The 19863-nt window shown below is 46.2% G+C and overlaps 1 protein-coding gene across 2 annotated transcripts in view, besides 2 other annotated features; it reads right to left on the bottom strand.

The window, feature by feature from the left end:
- Positions 1-19844, bottom strand: part of GTPBP4 (GTP binding protein 4) — a 31499-nt gene extending 11655 nt beyond the window's left edge. The window contains exons 1-10 of one of the 2 annotated variants that reach the window (XM_047424932.1): positions 19330-19844; positions 15619-15789; positions 12246-12349; positions 12036-12172; positions 10970-11070; positions 9183-9275; positions 7410-7601; positions 7265-7330; positions 2371-2460; positions 1150-1260 (exon numbers count right to left, since the gene is read on the bottom strand). In XM_047424932.1, coding sequence (XP_047280888.1) covers positions 1150-1260; positions 2371-2460; positions 7265-7330; positions 7410-7601; positions 9183-9275; positions 10970-11070; positions 12036-12172; positions 12246-12349; positions 15619-15696 — 972 coding nt within the window. In that variant the 5' untranslated portion in view covers positions 15697-15789; positions 19330-19844. The remainder of the gene's footprint in view (positions 1-1149; positions 1261-2370; positions 2461-7264; positions 7331-7409; positions 7602-9182; positions 9276-10969; positions 11071-12035; positions 12173-12245; positions 12350-15618; positions 15790-19329) is intronic. The other variant, NM_012341.3, reaches the window with a different exon arrangement.
- Positions 2974-3473: an enhancer, noted in NCBI's record as "H3K4me1 hESC enhancer chr10:1050745-1051244 (GRCh37/hg19 assembly coordinates)". NCBI's record gives its function as "activates a minimal SCP1, AML or CMV promoter by ChIP-STARR-seq in naive H9 embryonic stem cells {active_cell/tissue: H9 hESC(naive)}" and the evidence as "EXISTENCE:reporter gene assay evidence [ECO:0000049][PMID:30033119]".
- Positions 17202-18097: an enhancer, noted in NCBI's record as "H3K4me1 hESC enhancer chr10:1036121-1037016 (GRCh37/hg19 assembly coordinates)". NCBI's record gives its function as "activates a minimal SCP1, AML or CMV promoter by ChIP-STARR-seq in primed H9 embryonic stem cells {active_cell/tissue: H9 hESC(primed)}" and the evidence as "EXISTENCE:reporter gene assay evidence [ECO:0000049][PMID:30033119]".
- Positions 19845-19863: the final 19 nt, after the last annotated feature.

The following is a 19863-nucleotide window of genomic DNA, read 5'->3' as shown; positions in this document are numbered from 1 at the left end:
GCGCGCCCGACTAATTTTCGTAGTTTTAGCAGAGATGGGGTTTCACCATGATTGCCAGGCTGGTCTCAGACTCTTGACCTCAGGTGATCCACCCGCCTCGGCCTCCCAGAGTGCTGGGATTACAGACGTGAGCCACTGCACCCAGCAAGAAAAGATACTTTTAAAATGACTTTGGAATGAATGGTAAGCCTTTCTATGTACAATGCAAACCTGAACACCCAGAAAAAAAAATTAATATATGTTAATAGTTCAAAAATGTACAGCACATTTGAAGTTAAAAAGGCAAGTGACAAAAAGAGAAAAAAATTTGCAATGTATCTGACAAGAATCCAACCTTTGTAATACAAAAGTAACAAATCAGCGAGAAAAAGATAAACAGCCTAAAGAACTTTGAAAAGGCCAATAAGCAGACAAACATGCTCAACCGCACCCAGCATTACATAAACACACAACAATAAAATCATCTTTACACAAGACTGACAGTCAGTGCCCGACCACGCCGAGGACACAAGGAAAGACAGAGGGAAGGACACAGCCTCCAGCGTCAGTGCAGCACACACCAGGAAGGCGTCTGTGGGACAGGAACGTTGTCAACACCACATGGTGAAGTGCAGACACATTTGCAGTAAAACATGAAGACACAGCGTAACGATGTGTGCCCATTCACAATGGACAAAACAATGAAAATTTATTTTATTTATTTTTTATAGAGACAGGGTCCCACTATGTTGCCCAGGCTGGTCAAGAACTCCTGGGCTTAAGCAATCTTCCCACCTTGGCCTCCCAAAGTGCTGGGATTACAGGCGTGAGCTACTTCCCCCAGCCAAAAAAATGAAAATTTAAAGAATGAAACAGATTTCCATCTGTGTTTAAAGAACTTTTTAGAAACTAATCTTCTATATCAGAAACATTTCTGGAAGGATAAACTAACAGTGACCACGTCATGCAGTGGGAAACGGGTGCCATGTGGCGTTCTGCACTTTCTTCACCTTCTCGATCCTTTATGTAAGCAAGAAGGTGAAACTGAGGCCCACCCACAATATCCACCTGCGAGTGTGTGAAGCTGGATGGGAGGCTTCTGGAAAAGGCACGCAGACAGCACCTGCTGACAGTACTGTGAGCCCACGGCTGTCCCAGGGGCCGTCTTACCTTATCGTCCCTCCTGGTTGGGATAGCCAGGTGCAGTCTATTCAGCACCTCATTCACTTTATTTCCCTTCATTTTGGTTTCCACTCGATGAGCCAAAAGCCTATCGCAAGCCTAATAACGTAAAAAAGAAGGCACAGTCACAAACGCATCCTCCAGCAGCCTCCAGCTACAGGTTCCAGGAGGAGCCACAGATCAGAGCCACTGAGCCTTTTCCCTCAAGGTAACTAACACGTAGGGGGCCACATTCTCTGAGGCCCAGGTGGAAGCGGCCCTGAGGGAAGGTGCATCTCCAGTGCCTGGGCCTCTCTCCCACCACAGTGACCCTCTGCACAGACGGTGCCCTCCAACTGCCCTTCACGAACCGGAGGCAATGTTGCCCCTCAGGACTCTAACCGAGCAACAAATTCCTGAGTGCGACCATGGCATCAGGAGTGCCATCTTTTTAAATCCTGAGTGCGACCATGGCATCAGGAGTGCCATCTTTTTTTTTGAGATGGTATCTCGCTCTTGCTGCCCAGGCTGTAGTGCAGTGGCATGATCTCAGCTCACAGCAACCTCCGCCTCCCAGGTTCAAACGATTCTCCTGCCTCAGCCTCCCGAGTAGCTGGGATTACAAGCATGCGCTACCACGCCCGGCTAATTTTGTATTTTTAGGAGAGACGGAGTTTCACCACGTTGGCCAGGCTGGTCTCGAACTCCCGACCTTGGGTGATCTACCCGCCTCAGCCTCCCAAAGTGCTGGGATTACAGGCGTGAGCCACTGCGCCTGGCCAGAAATGTCCTTTTATTTGAGATAAAAACAACATGAAATACAAAGTAATTAGGACAGCATGTGAAATCCAGCAGCGGACTGCCTCCTGCAAAAGCTGTTCTGCTTTTCAGACTTTTCTCCCTTCTACTTCGAACAGGTTCCATAAAAATAATTTTCACTGTACTTGCTACCGAAATATTAAAAGGCCAGAGACAACAGCTGCTTTAGGGTAAAGTTGTTTGGGGTGAGAAGAGCAAAGCATCCCCTCACAACCCACTGTCCACGGGGGGCAAAGTGGGTCTTAGAAGGGTCTGTCTTCACGCCCCACTCTCGCACGCCACCCGCCTCGCTACTGCGAGGGCTCCAAGTGTTAACAATGTCTAGAAAGAAAACTATTTTCTCCCCACAACTGACTTGAATCAAACAAGAGACAGTAAAAAGACTAATACCTGACTTAAGGCAGCACTGACCTCTGTTTTAACTTTAATAACACCTTCCTCAGTCAGGGTGCTGGTCTCTATTACAGGGAATCCTTCAGACTGCAAATCTGTAAATATTTTCTGGGAATGCAAAGAAAAAACGAGAGATGTATTATTCATTTCCAGTTCCCTATGGAACAAACTGTACAGTTCTGCAAATGGAGGCTGCAAATGTGAACATCTGTGGTTGTTTCAAAGTCTTAAAAAACAGACATATCCTAAAAACAGTTATTTTCTTCATATTCTTCTATGATCAAGAAAACACAAATGACATCAAAAAGATGGCCGACTAGTAGCCCCTCACATCTGTCCCCCACAACAAAGGCAATCAGAATAACGAACAACTACATGTTAATAACTGAGGGGGAGCTCCAGAGGGCATCACAGGAGTAACAGGCACCCTGGGGAGCAGAAAAACGCAAGACGATGAAATACAGCCCAAAGAAAACACCAGGGGCCAGGCGCGGTGGCTCATGCCTGTAATCCCAGCCTTTGGGAGGCCGAGGCGGGTGGATCATGAGGTCAGGAGGTCAAGGTCACCCTGGCTAACATGGTGAAACCCTGTCTCTGCTAAAAATATAAAAAATTAGCCAGGCGTGGTGGCGGCCGCCTGTAGTCCCAGCTACTCGGGAGGCTGAGGCAGGAGAATGGTGTGAACCTGGGAGGTGGAGCTTGCATTGAGCAGAGATCACGCCACTGCACTCCAGCCTGGGGGACAGAGCGAGACTCCGTCTTAAAACAAACAAACAAACAAACAAACCAAAAAAAACACACTGGGCCGCCAGCAACCCACCCTACAGCTGGGATGCAACGGGACCCAGGAGGAGGTTCTCCCTACGGTGAGGGGGTAAGCAAGAGGATGGCAGCAGCCCTGCCACCACTCTGGACACCCACAGCCCTCACCACCGGAGCCCCCTGGCATCCTCACAGCTGTGCTCCCACACAGAAGGAGCTGACACTGGGCCCTGTCTGTTGGGCCCATGGGGCGGCTATACTCCATCATCTTGGGACTGGAACTGCGGCTGGAGTATGTCTTGCTCAGGGGAAGTGGCCACAGCTCCCCTTCATCCCTGAGGCTAAACTGCCTCCAAACTACCCAAACCTGGTGGCCCAACATCCCCAAGCCAGCTGTGAGCAGCTGCTACCCCTTCCCAGCAGGGCTTGGTGGAGGTGGAGCCCCTCTACTAGCCCTTGCTCTAGCACCCAACGGTACCCTGCCTCCTGGTAAATAGCACCGTGGCCTCTCAGGGAACGTTGTCTCCCTGCTGCCTGAGCTGAAGCAGTGCCCTGCTTCCTGGGAAATGCCCAGAATGGTCACATATCCCAGCGTCTATGCTGAAGAGGTACCTTGTATCCCAGGGCAACGGTGCCTGGGGCGCCCAGAAGAGTCACAACCCTCAGGCCCAGGCTGACCAGCCACATACCATGGGGAGGAGCTGACATTGTACTCCACACCCCAGGGAAACAGGGCAGGGGCTGAGCCGAGGCACCTGCCCCACCACGCAAACAGCTCCAGCACCTGCTCCCTGGAGCTGGACTAACCCTATATTCTGAGCTGCAGAGTCACCACTCTTTCCAGGAAATGGAGTCACTGCTGTCCTCCTCCCTGTCCTCTAGGGCCCAAATGACAGCTGGACTAGTCCATTCTGGGGTCCTTGCTGCCACCTCACCTAGCATCAGAGAGTCTGGGATACTGCTGGGCCCCACCATCCCAGGGTCCAGAGTTCCCCTTGAGCTGACACTAAGCCCTCCCTACTGGCTCAGGTTTCTGAAGTACAGCTCTACCCTGCTTCCCAGGCTCAAACCTCCAGAGTGCGTCTTCCCTGGAGTCAGGCCAGGACTGTGCCCTGACCCCACGGGTGGAGCCACAGCCACAGCCTTGCCCTGTGGGCTTAAGCTGCTAGGGGTGCTTCAGGATCAGAGATCCACCACAGAGAGTAAACCTGCACCCCAAGGCCAGGCCATGATAGGCACACAAGACCCTAAGGCTAGGACCCCAGTCCCACAGCTACCCTGAGTACCTGTAGCTGAAACCCAGCACTGTGGCAGCTGCTTGCAGACCATGTCAGACCTGACACCAAGAAAGATCCCCTCAGATAAGTCCCCCATTGCGGGAAAAACAAGAATAGCAGGACCCCAAAAGCCCCTGACACCAAGGACCTTAAAAACATACACCACCGCTGGCACAAACTTCCAGAGCTGAGGCCACTGAGCCACCCAGTTATTGCCAACATTTCATGGAGGTGAGGAAGCTGCACAGAAACAATGTCACTGCTCCTATCCAGAAAGTCACGGTTCTCTTCCCAAATGGCACAGTAAAACCCAAGTGAGGTGAAAACCTCTCCATGAAAGCCACTCTAGAAGAAAGTATAAAAGAGGCTCCTGTTCTACCAGATGCAGAGACATCAATGCAGGGACACAAGAAACATGAAAAAGCAAGGAAATAAGAAATCATGAAAGGAATATTAACTCTCTAGGAACAGACTCTAATGAAAAGGAAATCAATGAATTGCCAGAAAGAGAATTCAAAATAATAATTTTTTTGAAGGAAACTCAATGAGAAACAAAATACAGATAGATAATTCAACAAAATCAAGAAAACAATTTCATGATATGAACAAGAACTTAAACTGAGACAGAAATTGTAAAAAAGAGTCAAACAGAAATCCTGTAGCTGAAGAATTCAATGGATGAGATAATACAATAGACAGTTTTAACAGCACACTGGATGAAGCAGAAAAAAAATCTCTGTCATTTGAAACTACCTAGTCAGAGAGAAAAAAAGCAGGAAGAACGAAAAAGAATGAAGGAAGCCTATAAGATTTATGGGACAACATTAAGTGAATACATGCTGGCATTATGGGAGTTCAAGAAGGAGAAGAGAAGGGAAAAGGCTTAGTAACCTATTTAATGAGATAGCTGAAAACTTTCCAAGACTGGGGAGAGGTATAGACATCTAAAACCAGGAAGTTCAAGAATTCCCAAATAGAGTCAGCCCAGAAAGGTCTTCCCCAAGGCACATTATAGTCAAACTGTCAAAAGTCAAATATAAAGGAAATTCTAAAAACAGCTAGAGAAAAGCTTGAAGTCACATATAAGAAAATCCCCATTAGACTAACAGCAGATTTCTTTGCAGAAACCTTGCACGCCAGGAGACAATGGGATGATATATATTCAAAGTGTTGAAGAAAAAAAAGAAGACTGCCAGCCAACTATATTACATCCAGCAAAGCTATCCTTCAGAAATAAGGGAGAAATAAATTCTTTCCGAGAAAAGCAAAAACAGAGAATTCGTCACTACTAGACCAGCCTTACAAGATATACTTAAGAAAGTCCTACATCTGGAAGCGAAGACAATAATCACTATCATGAAAACATGAAAAAGTATCCAAGAAATTCACTTAACCTGTAAAGACATTAAGACACACATAGACTGAAAATGAAGAGATGCAAAAAGATATTCTACGCAGATGGAAACTAAAAGCAAGTAGGAATAGCTATACTTCTATCAGATAAAGCAGATTTTAAGTCAAAAACAATAAAAAGAGACAAGAAGGTCATTATATAATAATAAAAGGGGTCAATAATATTTGGGGACATCAACATCAGACTCGCAACATTAGACAGATCCTAGGCAAAAAAGAATCAACAAATACTGGATTTAAAGTGCACTGTAGGCCAGGCGCAGTGGCTCACGCCTATAATCCCAACACTCTGGGAGGCCAAGGTGGGCGGATCACTTGAGGTCATAAATTCAAGACCAGCCTGGCCGGTATGGTAAAACCCTCTCTACTAAAAATACAAAAAATTAGCTCGGTGTGGTGGCGCACGCCTGTAATCCCAGCTACTCAGGAGGCTGAGGCAGGAGAATCACTTGAACCTCAGAGGTGGAGGCTGCACTGAGCCGAGACCGTGCCACTGCACTCCAGCCTCAGTGACAGAGCGAGACTCCATCTCAAAAAAAAAACAAAAATAAAATAAAAAAAAAAGTGCACTGTAGACCAAACATCTACAGAACATGTCATCCAACCGCTGCATAAAACACATTCCTCTCCTCAGTCCATGAAACATTCTCCAGGATAGACCATATGTTAGGCCACAAAACAAATCTCATCAATTTTTAAAAATTGCCAAGTATCTTTTCAGACCACAGTGGAATAAAACTAGAAATCAATACCAAGAGATACTTTCAAAACTGTAAAAAAAAAAAAAAAAACCACCCATGAGAATTATAAACATGTCCCAGAATGACCAATGGATCAATGAGGAAATTAAGGAAGAAATTAAGAAGGTGATGCTGACATTGCTGGGCCAGGACCACAATTTGAAAGCCACTCCACCAGTGCACGCTTCTAAAAGCATTTATCATGAAGGATGCCTATTAAAAAGGTTGTAGGATTCAATCAGTTTGAAAAATTATGTCCAACAATACTGCCTGCCTCTTGGAGAAAGCTAGCAGGCACGTCTCACTCATAGATCCAGATCCAGAAAGCCCAAATTCCAAGATCCTCCTTCTCCTTCACTCAATCATTAGTCTCCAAACTCATTTAATCACAGAACCTGTTTTATGAAGTAACACCTGTGAGCACCCTTCTCCAACAGTTCTCTCCTAAGTAATCACATTTTCCAAAAGTCCAACCCATCAAATACAGATGCTTCCACACACTCAAGAACAAAGAATCCAGAAACTTATGTTTTCGTTTTAGTTTGCCAATAACTAAGTTTTTATTATGTCTTTTCACTAAACCACTGAGGATATTATCTCAACTATAAAATACAATTGTGGACTAGTATTGCTAAAATTCCTTCATCTAAACTTTGGTTGTCTGAGATGAGAATTCAGAATTGGTAAGTAAGAAATATTCAAAATATTAACGTGATTTACCTGATCATCTTCAGAAAGTTCAGCTATTCTCTTCACATCACATTTGTTGGCTACAACTATGAGAGGCTAGGCAAGGAAGAAAAATAATGAAATCATTATTCTCGTACTGCAGGATATGAAGCAAAACATGAGTGACCACACACACCTTGTTGATGAAGAGAGGTCTGATGTTCTGGAAGAGTTCTAGCTGCTCCCTCAGCCCATGCCCACACTGCTCAGACAAATCCATCACATACAGGACCGCAGCACGGAGGTGGGCCAGGGCAGTGATGGCCTGCATCTCGATGGTGTTCCTATCCTCCAGAGGGTGGTCCAGGATCCCAGGAGTGTCTACAACCTAACACAGCCAGACCTTGTCACTGAAAGCACACTCACCCACAAGCTTCTTGTCCAGCACATCCCAGAAGTCACTCACACACACCCAACCAGACCTAATAATCTTACAGCAGAATTGTAGTTAAAAAAAAAAAAAAGTAGGGCTGGGTGCGGTGGCTCACACCTGTAATCCCAGCACTCTGGGAGGCCGAGGCGGGTGGATCACGAGGTCAGGAGATCGAGACCATCCTGGCTCACACGGCAAAACCCCATCTCTACTAAAAGTACAAAAAATTAGCTGGGCGTGGTGGCGGGCACCTGTAGTCCCAGCTACTCGGGAGGCTGAGGTAGGAGAATGGCGTGAACCAGGGAGGCGGAGCTTGCAGTGAGCCAAGATAGCGACACTGCACTCCAGCCTGGGTGACAGAGACTCCATCTCAAAAAAAAAAAAAAAAAAAAAAAAGTAGGTCTCCCAAACTGAATACCACAAAATAAACCAGTGACAGAAAAGTACATACTATTTAAACATCAAAAAAGGGAGGAGGAACCCTGTAGAGCTCAAAGAAATGCTAGCCATGATGTTGAGAGAAATGACTCCTCTTTTTACCAGCGACATCATAAAACACAAAAACTGGGATAACTGAGAACCCTCCCATGTCTTAGGAATTACTTTCTTCACAATTTACAAAATTAGAGTGTGGAAACATTGCTTCTTGCTTTGTATTTATTTATTTTTTTTGAGACAGAGTTTCGCTCCTGTCGCCCAGGCTGGAGTGCAATGGCACAATCTCGGCTCACTGCAACCCCTGTCTTCTGGGTTCAAGCGATTCTCCAGCCTCAGCCTTCCAAGTAGCTGGGATTACAGGCACCCACCACCACGTCCAGCTAATTTTTGTATTTTTAGTAGAGATGGGGTTTCGCCATGTTGGCCAGGCCAATCTCGAACTTCTGACCTCAGGTTAGCTGCCTGCCTTGGCCTCCCAAAGTGTTGGGATTACAGGCGTGAATCACTGTGCCCAGCCTGCTTCACGCTTTTAAACTGTATATATGCCATTTCTGATAACAGAGTTAGAAATGACACAAAGATAATTTCATTTTATGTTAAGAAAATGCAGAAATCCACACTGGCAGCTGGCTGCCTCCCCTGAATTATATCAGAGACATGCGACCTGTTCTTATGCATCCCAAGAGCTCAGATGAGTTTTCTTTATGATGATGGAGAAATTTCAAGTTCTTGATAAACCAAGATATTTGTTCTGTTTAAAGACAAGACTCTTGCCAGGTGCAGTGTGACTCACACCTGTAATCCTAGCACTTTGGGAGGCCAAGGCGGGCAGATCACCTGAAGTCAGGAGTTCAAGACCAGCCTGGCCAACATGGTGAAACCCCCTCTCTACTAAAAAAACACAAAAATTGGCCGGTCGTGGTGGTGTGCACCTGTAATCCCTGCTACTCGAAAGGCTGAGGCAGGAGAATCACTTGAACCTGGGAGGTGAAGGTTGCAGTGGACTGAGATCATGCCACTGCACTCCAGCCTGGGCAACAAGAGTGAAACTCCAACTCAAAATAAATAAATGAATAAAAATAAAGACAAGACTCTCACCTGCCAACGTAGATACTTATAATCCATGTGCCCAACAAACAGAGACTTGGTTGTGAACGCATAGGGCTGGACATCCACGTCTGCTCTCGTCACCTGGAACAAGTGAGAACTTTCAGAATCACCTCATTTCCTCTGTGTACACGTGGGATCTGTGTGTTTTAACAAGACTGATTTTGGGTAGGAAATAACCATAGAAGAAACCTCACACGATAAAACTGCATCGAATAGGAGCCTGGTACCTCTCCCTTTGCACCACCAGGCCAAGGACTGGGGTACTAGGACAGCGTGAGGGCTGGCATTTGGAGGACAGCCACCACCTCCCCTCACCCTCCCAAGTCCTGCCCCACCGCCTGCAATGCCCGCAGAGCTCTTTATGATGACAGGCATGTTCTGTCTGCACTGTCCAAACCGGGCCACCAGTCATGCACTGCTAATGAACTTTCAGTATGTGGCTCATGTGACTGAGGAGTTGAAATTTTCATTTTGCTGAATTAAACTGCAATTTAAAAAGCCACCCAGTGCAGTGGCCACCAAATCGGCCACAGAGCACTGGCTCAGAGCTCAGGGCAGGTTCAGAGCTGACAAGCATTTGAAAAATCAGCAAGGACCCTGCAGAGCTTTGCTGGTCACCATGTCACAGCAACCTGTAGACAAAATAAAACTCACAAATCTATTTCAAAGCAAAAGTGATCTTAAGGTAGGGTGGAGTGATTCATGCCTGTAATCCCAGCACTTCAGGAGGCTGAGGCAGGAGGATGGCTTGAGCTCGGGAGTTTGAGATCAGCCTGGGGAACACAGTGAGACTCCATCTCCACAAAAAATAAAAAAATTAAACAGGTGCGGTGGCGTGCACCTGTGGTCCCAGCTACTTGGGTGGCTGAGGTGGGAGGACTGTTTGGGCCCGGAAGGTTGAGGCTGCAGCGAGCCATGTCTGCACCACTGCACTTCAGCCTGGGCAACAGAGCGAGACCCTGTCTCAAAAAGAAAAAGTTTCAACAAAAAGAAAGAAAAAAATTTTTTTAATTAAAAATAAAGTGATCTTGGCACTGAGTAAGCCATAAAATTTGACCATTTTCTTGGCACATGAGCTGTTGCTGGTTGTAAATTCACATTTTAAATGTTGCTTTGCCTCTTCCTGAGTCCCTGAAACTCAGCCAAACTTTCCTGAAGCAACAAATGACCGAGTCCCTTAAATGTTACACTTATCCTAGTCAGTGAGCTCACCCAGGGAAAGAGCGACTCGGCACCGTCCCTCTACTAGACCACATACGATTTCATGTGAAAGCTGACACAGCAACCAAGGTAACAGATCACTCAGATGCAGCTGCAGACGGGAAGACCCCAGCTGGGTGAGTGTCACCTGCCACCGGAGCCCCGCTGGCATAGCCACTCCAGGACAGGCCAACAACACCCAAGAAAACCTCCCCAGTTGTCAACAAAAATGCACTTACATGTCTCAAATTCCTTAGAAATTATAGGACACACACAAGAACAAAAAGTAATGGCTTCTGTAATAGTAATATAAATGTAGATACAGACAAAGTAAATCCTCACCAAGAGGAGCTCGGCGTGCTCAGGCACCGGGAACTCCTGCAGACCAGGGCAGTGTTTTACTCAAGGACCAACTCGGAGGCCGAAATTATTACCAAGGCCGTCCTGAATCCCACGCAGTCAGAATACAGTTAACACTGACCTACAAGGCCATCCTGAATCCCACGCCGCCAGAATACAGTAACACTGACGTAAAATAGTCAGATGATTTGCTTTACGATAAAAACCAGACCAACCTTGTTGATGAAGCTGGACTTCCCAACATTTGGGTACCCACACAAAAGCAGGGTCCTGGTATTCGGATCAATGGTTGGCAAACGGGATAAATGCTGACGCACTAGGAAAAGTTCAAATTGAAAAATTAAGAAATTCAAAGTTTAAGATTTGCTTTAAATTTTCTTTTCAACTTAGTTACAGTCCAGGCCTATGGTGATATTCATCTTACTCCAACTTTTGTAATGCAAAAGTGATGGAGAAAATAGTTGCAGAAAGTAATAGTATACACATAGTATATTCAATTGCTATCTCCCAAGTTTGGCTCTGGTAAGAATCATATTCCTCAGCCCTTCTAAGCCCACGTTTTAATTCATTAGGTGACAGGTGGGGCCAACAGCATGTCTGGCAGTGTCCAGACAATTCTCATTAGCAAGATGACATTAGGGAACCAGTGCACTTTGAAGCCTGCAGGCCATGCCGTTTGGGCTACAACATGGGTTACTGCCACTCTGCCACCTCGTCTGTAACAAACACGGCTCCAGGGTGGCACCCCGGCCATCATGAAGACCACACAGATCTGTAGCAAAGCACCTGCAAGGCATCCAAGTATCACAAATTTTGTTAAAAATTATTTCTAAGATGCAGGAGAGAAAACAAAACCGAATGAGTCAAAATAATTTGTCATGTAAGAATACACACAATAAGCAAGTAATTGTTTCAACAGAATCCTAGTACATTAATTCAGAAAGTCCTATTAAATACAAGTGTTTTTAAAAATAAAAAAGTCAATAATAAACTATGAGCCACCTTAGTTTTTATACTTTTCAGTATTTTCTCGTGACTTTTTTGTGTATGCCTTACCTATTAAATATGAAATATATAAATTTTCTTATCAGTGCTATTGATTTGTAAGTATTTATTTTCAATAAAAACCAGCCTATTACTGTTTCTCATAGGTAAAGCTAGGAAGAATAACTGACCCTGTCATCTCCAAAATACAAGAAAAACAGACATCTCAAGTCCTCAACAAGGACGCATCCTCTCAGCAGGATGCTAGCACGGTTCCCGCGGATGCGTGACAAGCACCTTGCTCCAAATACTCCAAACTCTGCTTCTGCCTCTTGATCACTGTGCACATCCGTCCCAGGGCCGCACGCTTCAGCTGTTTGCAGCGGTAGAGAGAGTCGCCATACTTCATCAGTCGCACATAATCTTTAGCAACACTGTAAAAAATAAAAAATATTATTTTTTCCACTTTCGATAACTTAAAAGACACTACAGAAAAAAGTACCTTACTTGTCCACTAAATTTTTGGCAATATTTATTTGCCCCAGAGCCAACTTGTAATGATCCTTGTCGTAGAGAATATTCATCAAATCAGCATAGAACGGATGAATATCCTGTAACAAACAAAAGCACACCACGGTCACTTGGGGCCAGCAGTTTTTCATCCCTACCACTTGAAGAACAATTTCTTTCCCTCTCCCTCCACGCCTGCAGTGTCTCCTCCCCAGTTCCCTCTCCTGGCCAGGGGCCCTGTCTATTTAGTCCTCTGAGAAAACAGGCATCAGAAGGGATGCGGGTGCCGACAGTCACGGCTCCCACCCACCTCGCTCTCAGTGCAGTGGTAGAGCTGTGGGACCCAGCAATGACCAGCCCCCGACCCTGCATGTACCCTTCCTGTTGCTCAGGAACTCAGCACTAGAAATTCTTCCCTCCACCTGACTATTCCCATCAGCCTAAAAATTTGCTGTTATTTCTCAATCTTTAGGAAAAAAAATCAAAAATTCCCATAGCCCCAAAATCCTTCCAATTCCCTCTCTTTGCTCCCAAGACACACTGTGTCTCTCCTCTCCTCCCTCTCTTGAACCCACTCTCTCCAGAATTCTGTGTCCACCACTCCATCTAAACAGCCTACAAGCTCACCAAGGACCTCCCAATGACCAATTCTCAGTTTTTATCTCACAGACCTCTTGAAACGCTGCGGGCTGGCCATGCATCCTGCCTGCGGTATTTTCCTCACAGCTTCTAGGTGGAGAGTCTGACCCCTCTAAGTCCTGTGCTGGCTAGTGCTCACAGCTCTACCCCAAACATTCATGCTCCCCACAGCACCCTTCTTCCTACATTCCCTTCCAAGGTGATCTCAGATAGATTTAAATGTCGTCTACATTTTACTAATGCATTTTAAATCACCAGGCCAGCATCTCCTGAGATATCTCACCAGTGCATATAAACTCGACCCTTGACTACCACCTCCAATCCCATGTCCCAGTGTTCACCTCCCTAGCCTGCCCCACCTCCTGGGTCTCCTGCACCTGCTGCTTCTTTGACTACAGGCCTGACACCCTCTCCCCGCACAGATACTCCCTACTCCCTTCCATGGCTTCACTGCATTCATCTGACATGCTATTTACTATCTTTTCTCCACCAGAATGAGAGCAGGAACCTTTACCACTTCTGGATTCCTAGGACTCAGAACAGTACCTGACAGACAATAAGCATTCAGTGAATGACAACTTAATATCTAACCCTCCACTCTGAAGCTGTTCTCAGATAACTAGTCCTGGCTTTAAAAAGAGTAATAGAATGTTAATACATTTGAACTCTCCTACCTCTGATGGCTATAACACTGAGGATGAAAAAGACAAAACTTCTTAAAAAGAACCACAAAAATCTGATACTAAGTAGATCAAAGTATGTTGTTGGCTAAAATCAAATATTTCCTAATATCAAATCAGTTAAGAATAATCTCATTCTTGGCCAGGCACTGTGGCTTATGTCTGTAATCCCAGCACTTTGGGAGGCCAAGGCAGGCGGATCACCTGAGGTCAGGAGTTCGAGACCAGCCTGGCCAACATGGAGAAACCTCGTCTCTACTAAAAAAACACAAAAATTAGCCGGGTATAGTCGCACATGCCTGTAATCCCAGCTACTCGGGAGGCTGAGGTGGGAGAATCGCTTGAACCTGGGAGGAAGAGGTTACAGTGAGCTGAGATCACGCCATTTTACTCCAGCCTGGGCAACAGAGCAAGACTGTCTCAAAACAAACAAACAAACAAACAAACAAACAAAAATCTCATTCTTAAATCACTTTCTTCACCCCCAGGTACTCTCTAGTACCTGACCTTTCCCAAGAAACCATTCACTCATTCAACAAACATCTACTGAGCAACTGTGTCAAATCCTAGCTAGACACAACCTAAGTGTCCGTCCTCTAGCAAGAATTTTTGTATTTTAAGCACTTCTGTATTTTAAAAATAAGCCATTATTGGACAGGTGCAGTGGCTCACACCTGTAATCCCAGCACTTTGGGAGGCCAAGGCAGGCGGATCACCTGAGGTCAGGAGTTCGAGACAAGCCTGGCCAACATGGTGAAACCCTGTCTCTACTAAAAATACAAAACTAGCCGGGCGTGGTGGCGGGCACCTGTAATCCCAGCTACTTGGGAGGCTGAGGCAGGAGAATCGCTTGAACCTGGGAGGTGGAGGTTGCAGGGAGCTGAGATTGTGATACTCTGGCTTAAAAAAAAAAAGCCATTATAACTTGTTTAAATATGAAGTACTGTCACAGAAGCCAAACATTTCTCTCTGCCTACACCTGCCTTCAGGGACTATTCTGGGGCAACGGCAGATTTAGGCTTTGAGACTATACTGCTGATCCCCACGCCCTTCACAACCTCAATTAACCTTGCAACCACATTACCCCACACATGGTGTCATAAGGCTTTGTTAGTTTGCCAGGCAGTTTCTGCTCTTGCTTTTCTACAGCTAAAGAAACAGGCAGGCCAGGCGTGGTGGCTCACGCCTGTAATCCCAGCACTTTGGGAGGCTGAGGCAGGTAGATCATTTGAGGTCAGGAGTTCAAGACCAGCCTGGCCAACATGGTGAAACCCCATTTCTACTAAAAATACAAAAATTAGGCGTGGTTATGCACCTGTAATCCCAGCTACGCGGGAGGCTGAAGCACAAGAATTGCTTGAATCCAGGAGGTAGAGATTTCAGCGGGCTGAGATCACGCCACTGCACTCCAGCCTGGGCAACAGAGTGAGACTCAGTCTCCAAAAAAAAGAGAAAAAAAGAAACAGGCAAACTGCAATGTGCAGCAGAGAAAGGAGCTCAAGGTTTCTGGCTTCATTCAAAAGTCATAGCTCCCATGTGATCTCTCCTTGCCAAAGAAGAAAACAGTCAGTGCTGAACTGACTGTCATCAGCTGATGAAGCAACAAGATCACAAACAGTGGTGGATCTTACACCACTGACCCAAGCTGAGCCCAGAGGAAAAAAAAAACCCTTGGAAAGAAGGTGGAAGAGATAAAGCCCAGACAACCAGTGAGCTGCTAGCTTCTGTGTTCATAACCCACAGCTATCATTAACACTTGGGTTGGCACCTGCAAGCCCAGGGTTTACACAGAAAGCCTGAGAAGACAGCTTGGGGCCTCCTTAGATGGGTTTTGGTTGGAGGAAAGAAAGAATACTAGGGAATCAAAAAACCCAAATTCTGTTCTCACTTTTATAAATTCAACAAATTAGTTCTTTGCCACTAACTTACTGAGTAACCTAAGTCAATTATTTTGTTTCCTTTTCTGTCAAATGAGTACACCAAACTGGTTAAACACTGGTTCTCTGAAAGCCCGTATTTACATAACCACAGAAGTCCCCTAAGTCACTTACATCCAATTTGGGGAAATCTGTTAGAATTTGTGAAAGTCTATCATGGTAATTCTGTTGAGTAAATTTGACTTTTCTCATGTAAAAATGTCTAATGCGATGTATTTGGTAATGTTTATGAATAACGGTTGGAGTCTTTCGTTGAGTCTTCGACAACGTGAGGTCTATGAAGTCCTGCAATTAAAGAAAATAAAACATAATTACATCAAAAGGGTCTACTTTTGAGCCATTTATTTGAAACCTTCCTTTTTTTTTTTTTTTTTGAGACAGAGTCTCGCTCTGTCGCCCAGGCTGGAGTGCAGTGGCACGATCTCGGCTCACTGCAAGCTCCGCCTCCCAGGTTCATGCCATTATCCTGCCTCAGCCTCCAGAGTAGCTGGGACTACAGGCGCGTGCCACCACACCCGGCTAATTTTTTGCATTTTTAGTAGAGATGGGGTTTCACCATGTTAGCCAGGATGGTCTTGATATCCTGACCTCGTGATCCACCTGCCTCGGCCTCCCAAAGTGCTGGGATTACAGGTGTGAGCCACCACGCCCGGCCCTGAAACCTTCTTAAAACACTAATATCTTACAGTACTACATATTTTAAATTACAAAAATTTACTAAACGTTTCATGTACAACCTTGTTCATCTTGAAACACATGGCTAAGATAAATTTTACACCGGCCGGGCGCGGTGGCTCACGCCTGTAATCCCAGCACTTTGGGAGGCTGAGGCGGGCGGATCACGAGGTCAGGAGATCGAGACCATCCTGGCTAACACGGTGAAACCCCGTCTCTACTAAAAATACAAAAAATTAGCCGGGCGTGGTAGCGGGCACCTGTAGTCCCAGCTACTCGGGAGGCTGAGGCAGGAGAATGGCGTGAACCCGGGAGGCGGAGCTTGCAGTGAGCCGAGATCGCGCCACTGCACTCCAGCCTGGGCGACAGAGCGAGACTCCGTCTCAAAAAAAAAAAAAAAAAAAAAAAAGATAAATTTTACACCATACTTTCTTGATGCTATCTTAATTTCCAAACACCTAAGAACCTTTGAAACTTAAATAATCAGAGAATTCAAACCATAAATTAGAATAGTTGAGAAAAAGAAACAATCCTCCCATTTGTTTATGCATACCCTTGACTTTGAAAGTACATAAAATAACAGGTAAAACTAAAATCCACTGTTTATAATTTCCAAAGAGATGGAAGGGAACTATTTGAGGAGATGAAGGATTTTTGCATGAGTTACCCAGTGCAAAGAGTCAGCACTTCTCTTTAATAAGGATCCGATCCCCAGGATTCCTAAATCCAATGTATCTAGCCACACAATATTACTTGACCTTTTTTCTTGAACACTTTGATTAATTCAACAATTTGATTAACTCAATATTATTTCATACAAAGGTTGTTAGGGATACTTGGGTGCTGAGGATAATGAACAAGATACTGTCCCTTCCTTCACGGAATTCAGGGTCCAGTGACAGAAGTAAACAGGTGGGCACAACACAGTCTGCCAAGTATTGTACTATGAGGGGCACGCCCAGTCTCCCCTCTGGGCCTACAAGTGAGACAAGTAAATGGGTGGTCACAACAGTCTGCCAAGTACTATAAGGGGCACACACTGTCTCCCCTCTGGGCCTACAAGTGAGACAAGTAAACGGGTGGTCACAACAGTCTGCCAAGTACTATGAGGGGCACACACGGTCTCCCCTCTGGGCCCACACAAGATCTTCTCTACGTTCTTCTGCACCTAATGCCGTTCGCACATCCTGAAGGGGGACCAAGTCAAAGGTTACCTACTTCATAAGGTTCCCCCTGACTCTCCAACTTACCACAGCTAACCACACTCTTCTCCTCTCCCAATCCATGTGTGTCCTCCATGATAACAATGTTTTATTTCTAGTATGGTCATACGAGATATGACTTACCCCACTTTTTTTTTTTTTTTTTTTTGAGATGGAGTCTTGCTCTGTTGCCCAGGCTGGAGTGCAGTGGCGCGATCTCGGTTCACTGCAAGCTCTGCCTCCTGGGTTCAGTTCACACCATTCTCCTGCCTCAGCCTCCCCAGCAGCTGGGACTACAGGCGCCCGCCACCACGCCTGGCTAATTTTTCTGTATTTTTAGTAGAGACGGGGTTTCACCGTGTTAGCCAGGATGGTCTCGATCTCCTGACCTCGTGATTTGCCCGCCTCAGCCTCCCAAAGTGCTGGGATTACAGGCGAGAGCCACCGCACCCGGCCTCGACTTACCTCTCTTGAAAATGACTTCCAAAGAGGCAGGTATTTTATCTAATGCATTTTTGTAACACAGTACCCGATGCACAGGACAGGCACTCACTCAACATCTTCTAGAATGAACTGAATACCACACTTTCCCGATGTGATTTTTTTTTTTTACTTCCAATCACCAAACAATTACCATCACCCAGTTTTTAGATAAGTCATCTGTTCTCTAAAAATATAAATCTCACTCCACAGAACAGAAGACGGATGGTGTATAATATATTCTAAAGTTCTCCACATAAGTCAATAACATGAACAAAGTTCATATAATCCAAAGAGCAAATTCCTTCAACAAACCTGAGAGATGGTTGACCAAAAATACAAATAAGACATGACTCCTGCACTCGAAAATACTACAATCTGGCTGGGCACAGTAGCTCATGCCTGTAATCCTAACACTTTGGGAGGCTGAGGCAAGTGAATCACTTGAGATTAGGAGTTCAAGACCAGTCTGGCCAACATGGTGAAACTCCACTTCTACTGAAAATACAAAAATTAGCCAGGCCTGGTGGCGCATGCCTGTAGTCCCAGCTACTCGGGAGGCTGAGGCAGGAAAATCACTTGAACCTGGGAGGCGGTGGCTGCAGTCAGGATCACACCACTGCGCTCCAACCTGGCCAACAGAGCGAGACTCCATCTCAAAAAGAAAGAAAGAAAATACTACAATCGATCAAGAGATGTGCCAGAACAACTGTCAGGAAGAAATAAGAAATGGTGGAGAGAAGTGGGGAAACAACTTTTGCTATGAAGGTAAAATACGAGACTCCCACAAAGCTTTCCAAGGCAAGCTCATCCCGTCCTTGAGACCTGAAGAAAAGGAGGCACTGACGAGGGGAAAACAGTCACTCTGCAGGGACTTCAGTAACTCCCTCTCGTGCAGGAGTCCCTGGGAGGCTCCAGTTGCCCGTCAATGTCTGTGTAATTGCGACCCAAATCGAATGTTCACTACATAAAAACGTGACTTCTTAAAAGTCCTAATACTAGGGCCGGGCGCAGTGGCTCACGCCTGTAATTCCAGCACTTTGGGAGGCCGGGGCGGGAGGATCACCCGGGATCAGGAGTTCGAGGCCAGCTTGGCCAACGTGGTGAAACCCCGTCTCTACTAAAAATACGAAAATTAGCTGGGTGTGGTGGTGCACGACTGTAATCCCTGTTACTCGGGAGGCTGAAGCAGGAGAATCGCTTGAACGCGGGAGGTGGAGGTTGCAGTGAGCCGAGACTGCGCTCCAGCCTGGGAAACAAGAGCGAAAAACTATGTCTCAAAAAAAAAAAAAAAAAAAAAAAGTCCTAATACTCAACACTTGTTGACTCATTCTTGCCACACCAACCAACGCTGTAAAAATTTAGTCTGGGCCTACTATGGTCTGAAAAGGAACAGGTATTCCCAAATCTAACAGTGAAAGAGAATGACTTAAAAATTATGAAACGTTAAATCACGAGAACAACGAACCCAGGATTCCTGAGAGGGGAGGGGGCTACGCCAAACCCAGAATCCGAAGGCTCATCACGGACCACGGAACGCTTCCTCCCTCACATGTCGGGGTCCCCCTCCACTCGCCCACATCGTCACCCGGGGCCCCTCCAGGGAACCCAACTCTGGGTGTACCCCCATCTCTGGGGGCCCTCAGTCTTTGGGTGGACCACGGTCTTAGGTGGACCCCGGTCTCTGGGGGATCCGATCTCTGGTGGACCCCGGATTCTGCTGGGGGAGGGGAAATGATCCCGAGTACGCGGCCAGACGGTCAGGCCCAGGAGCGGGGGATGGGCGAGCGGAAGGCGACCGCTCTCCCACGGCTACAGGCCCGGACCCTCCCCGGGGACCCAGCTGAGGAGAACGCGAAAGTTGCAGTGGCCCTCCCGGGGCCGCCTACCTTGGCGGACGGCACCACCGTAATTTTCTTGAAGTTGTAATGTGCCATGCCGGCAGCCGTATGCACGCGGGTACTTGGCACTCCCGGAACTTCCGCCGTCGGGCGCAGGTGGG

The sequence above is a fragment of the Homo sapiens genome, chromosome 10, assembly GCF_000001405.40.
Source record: "Homo sapiens chromosome 10, GRCh38.p14 Primary Assembly".
NCBI classification, from domain to species: domain Eukaryota; kingdom Metazoa; phylum Chordata; class Mammalia; order Primates; family Hominidae; genus Homo; species Homo sapiens.
This window is presented reverse-complemented; position numbering and strand designations above follow the sequence as displayed.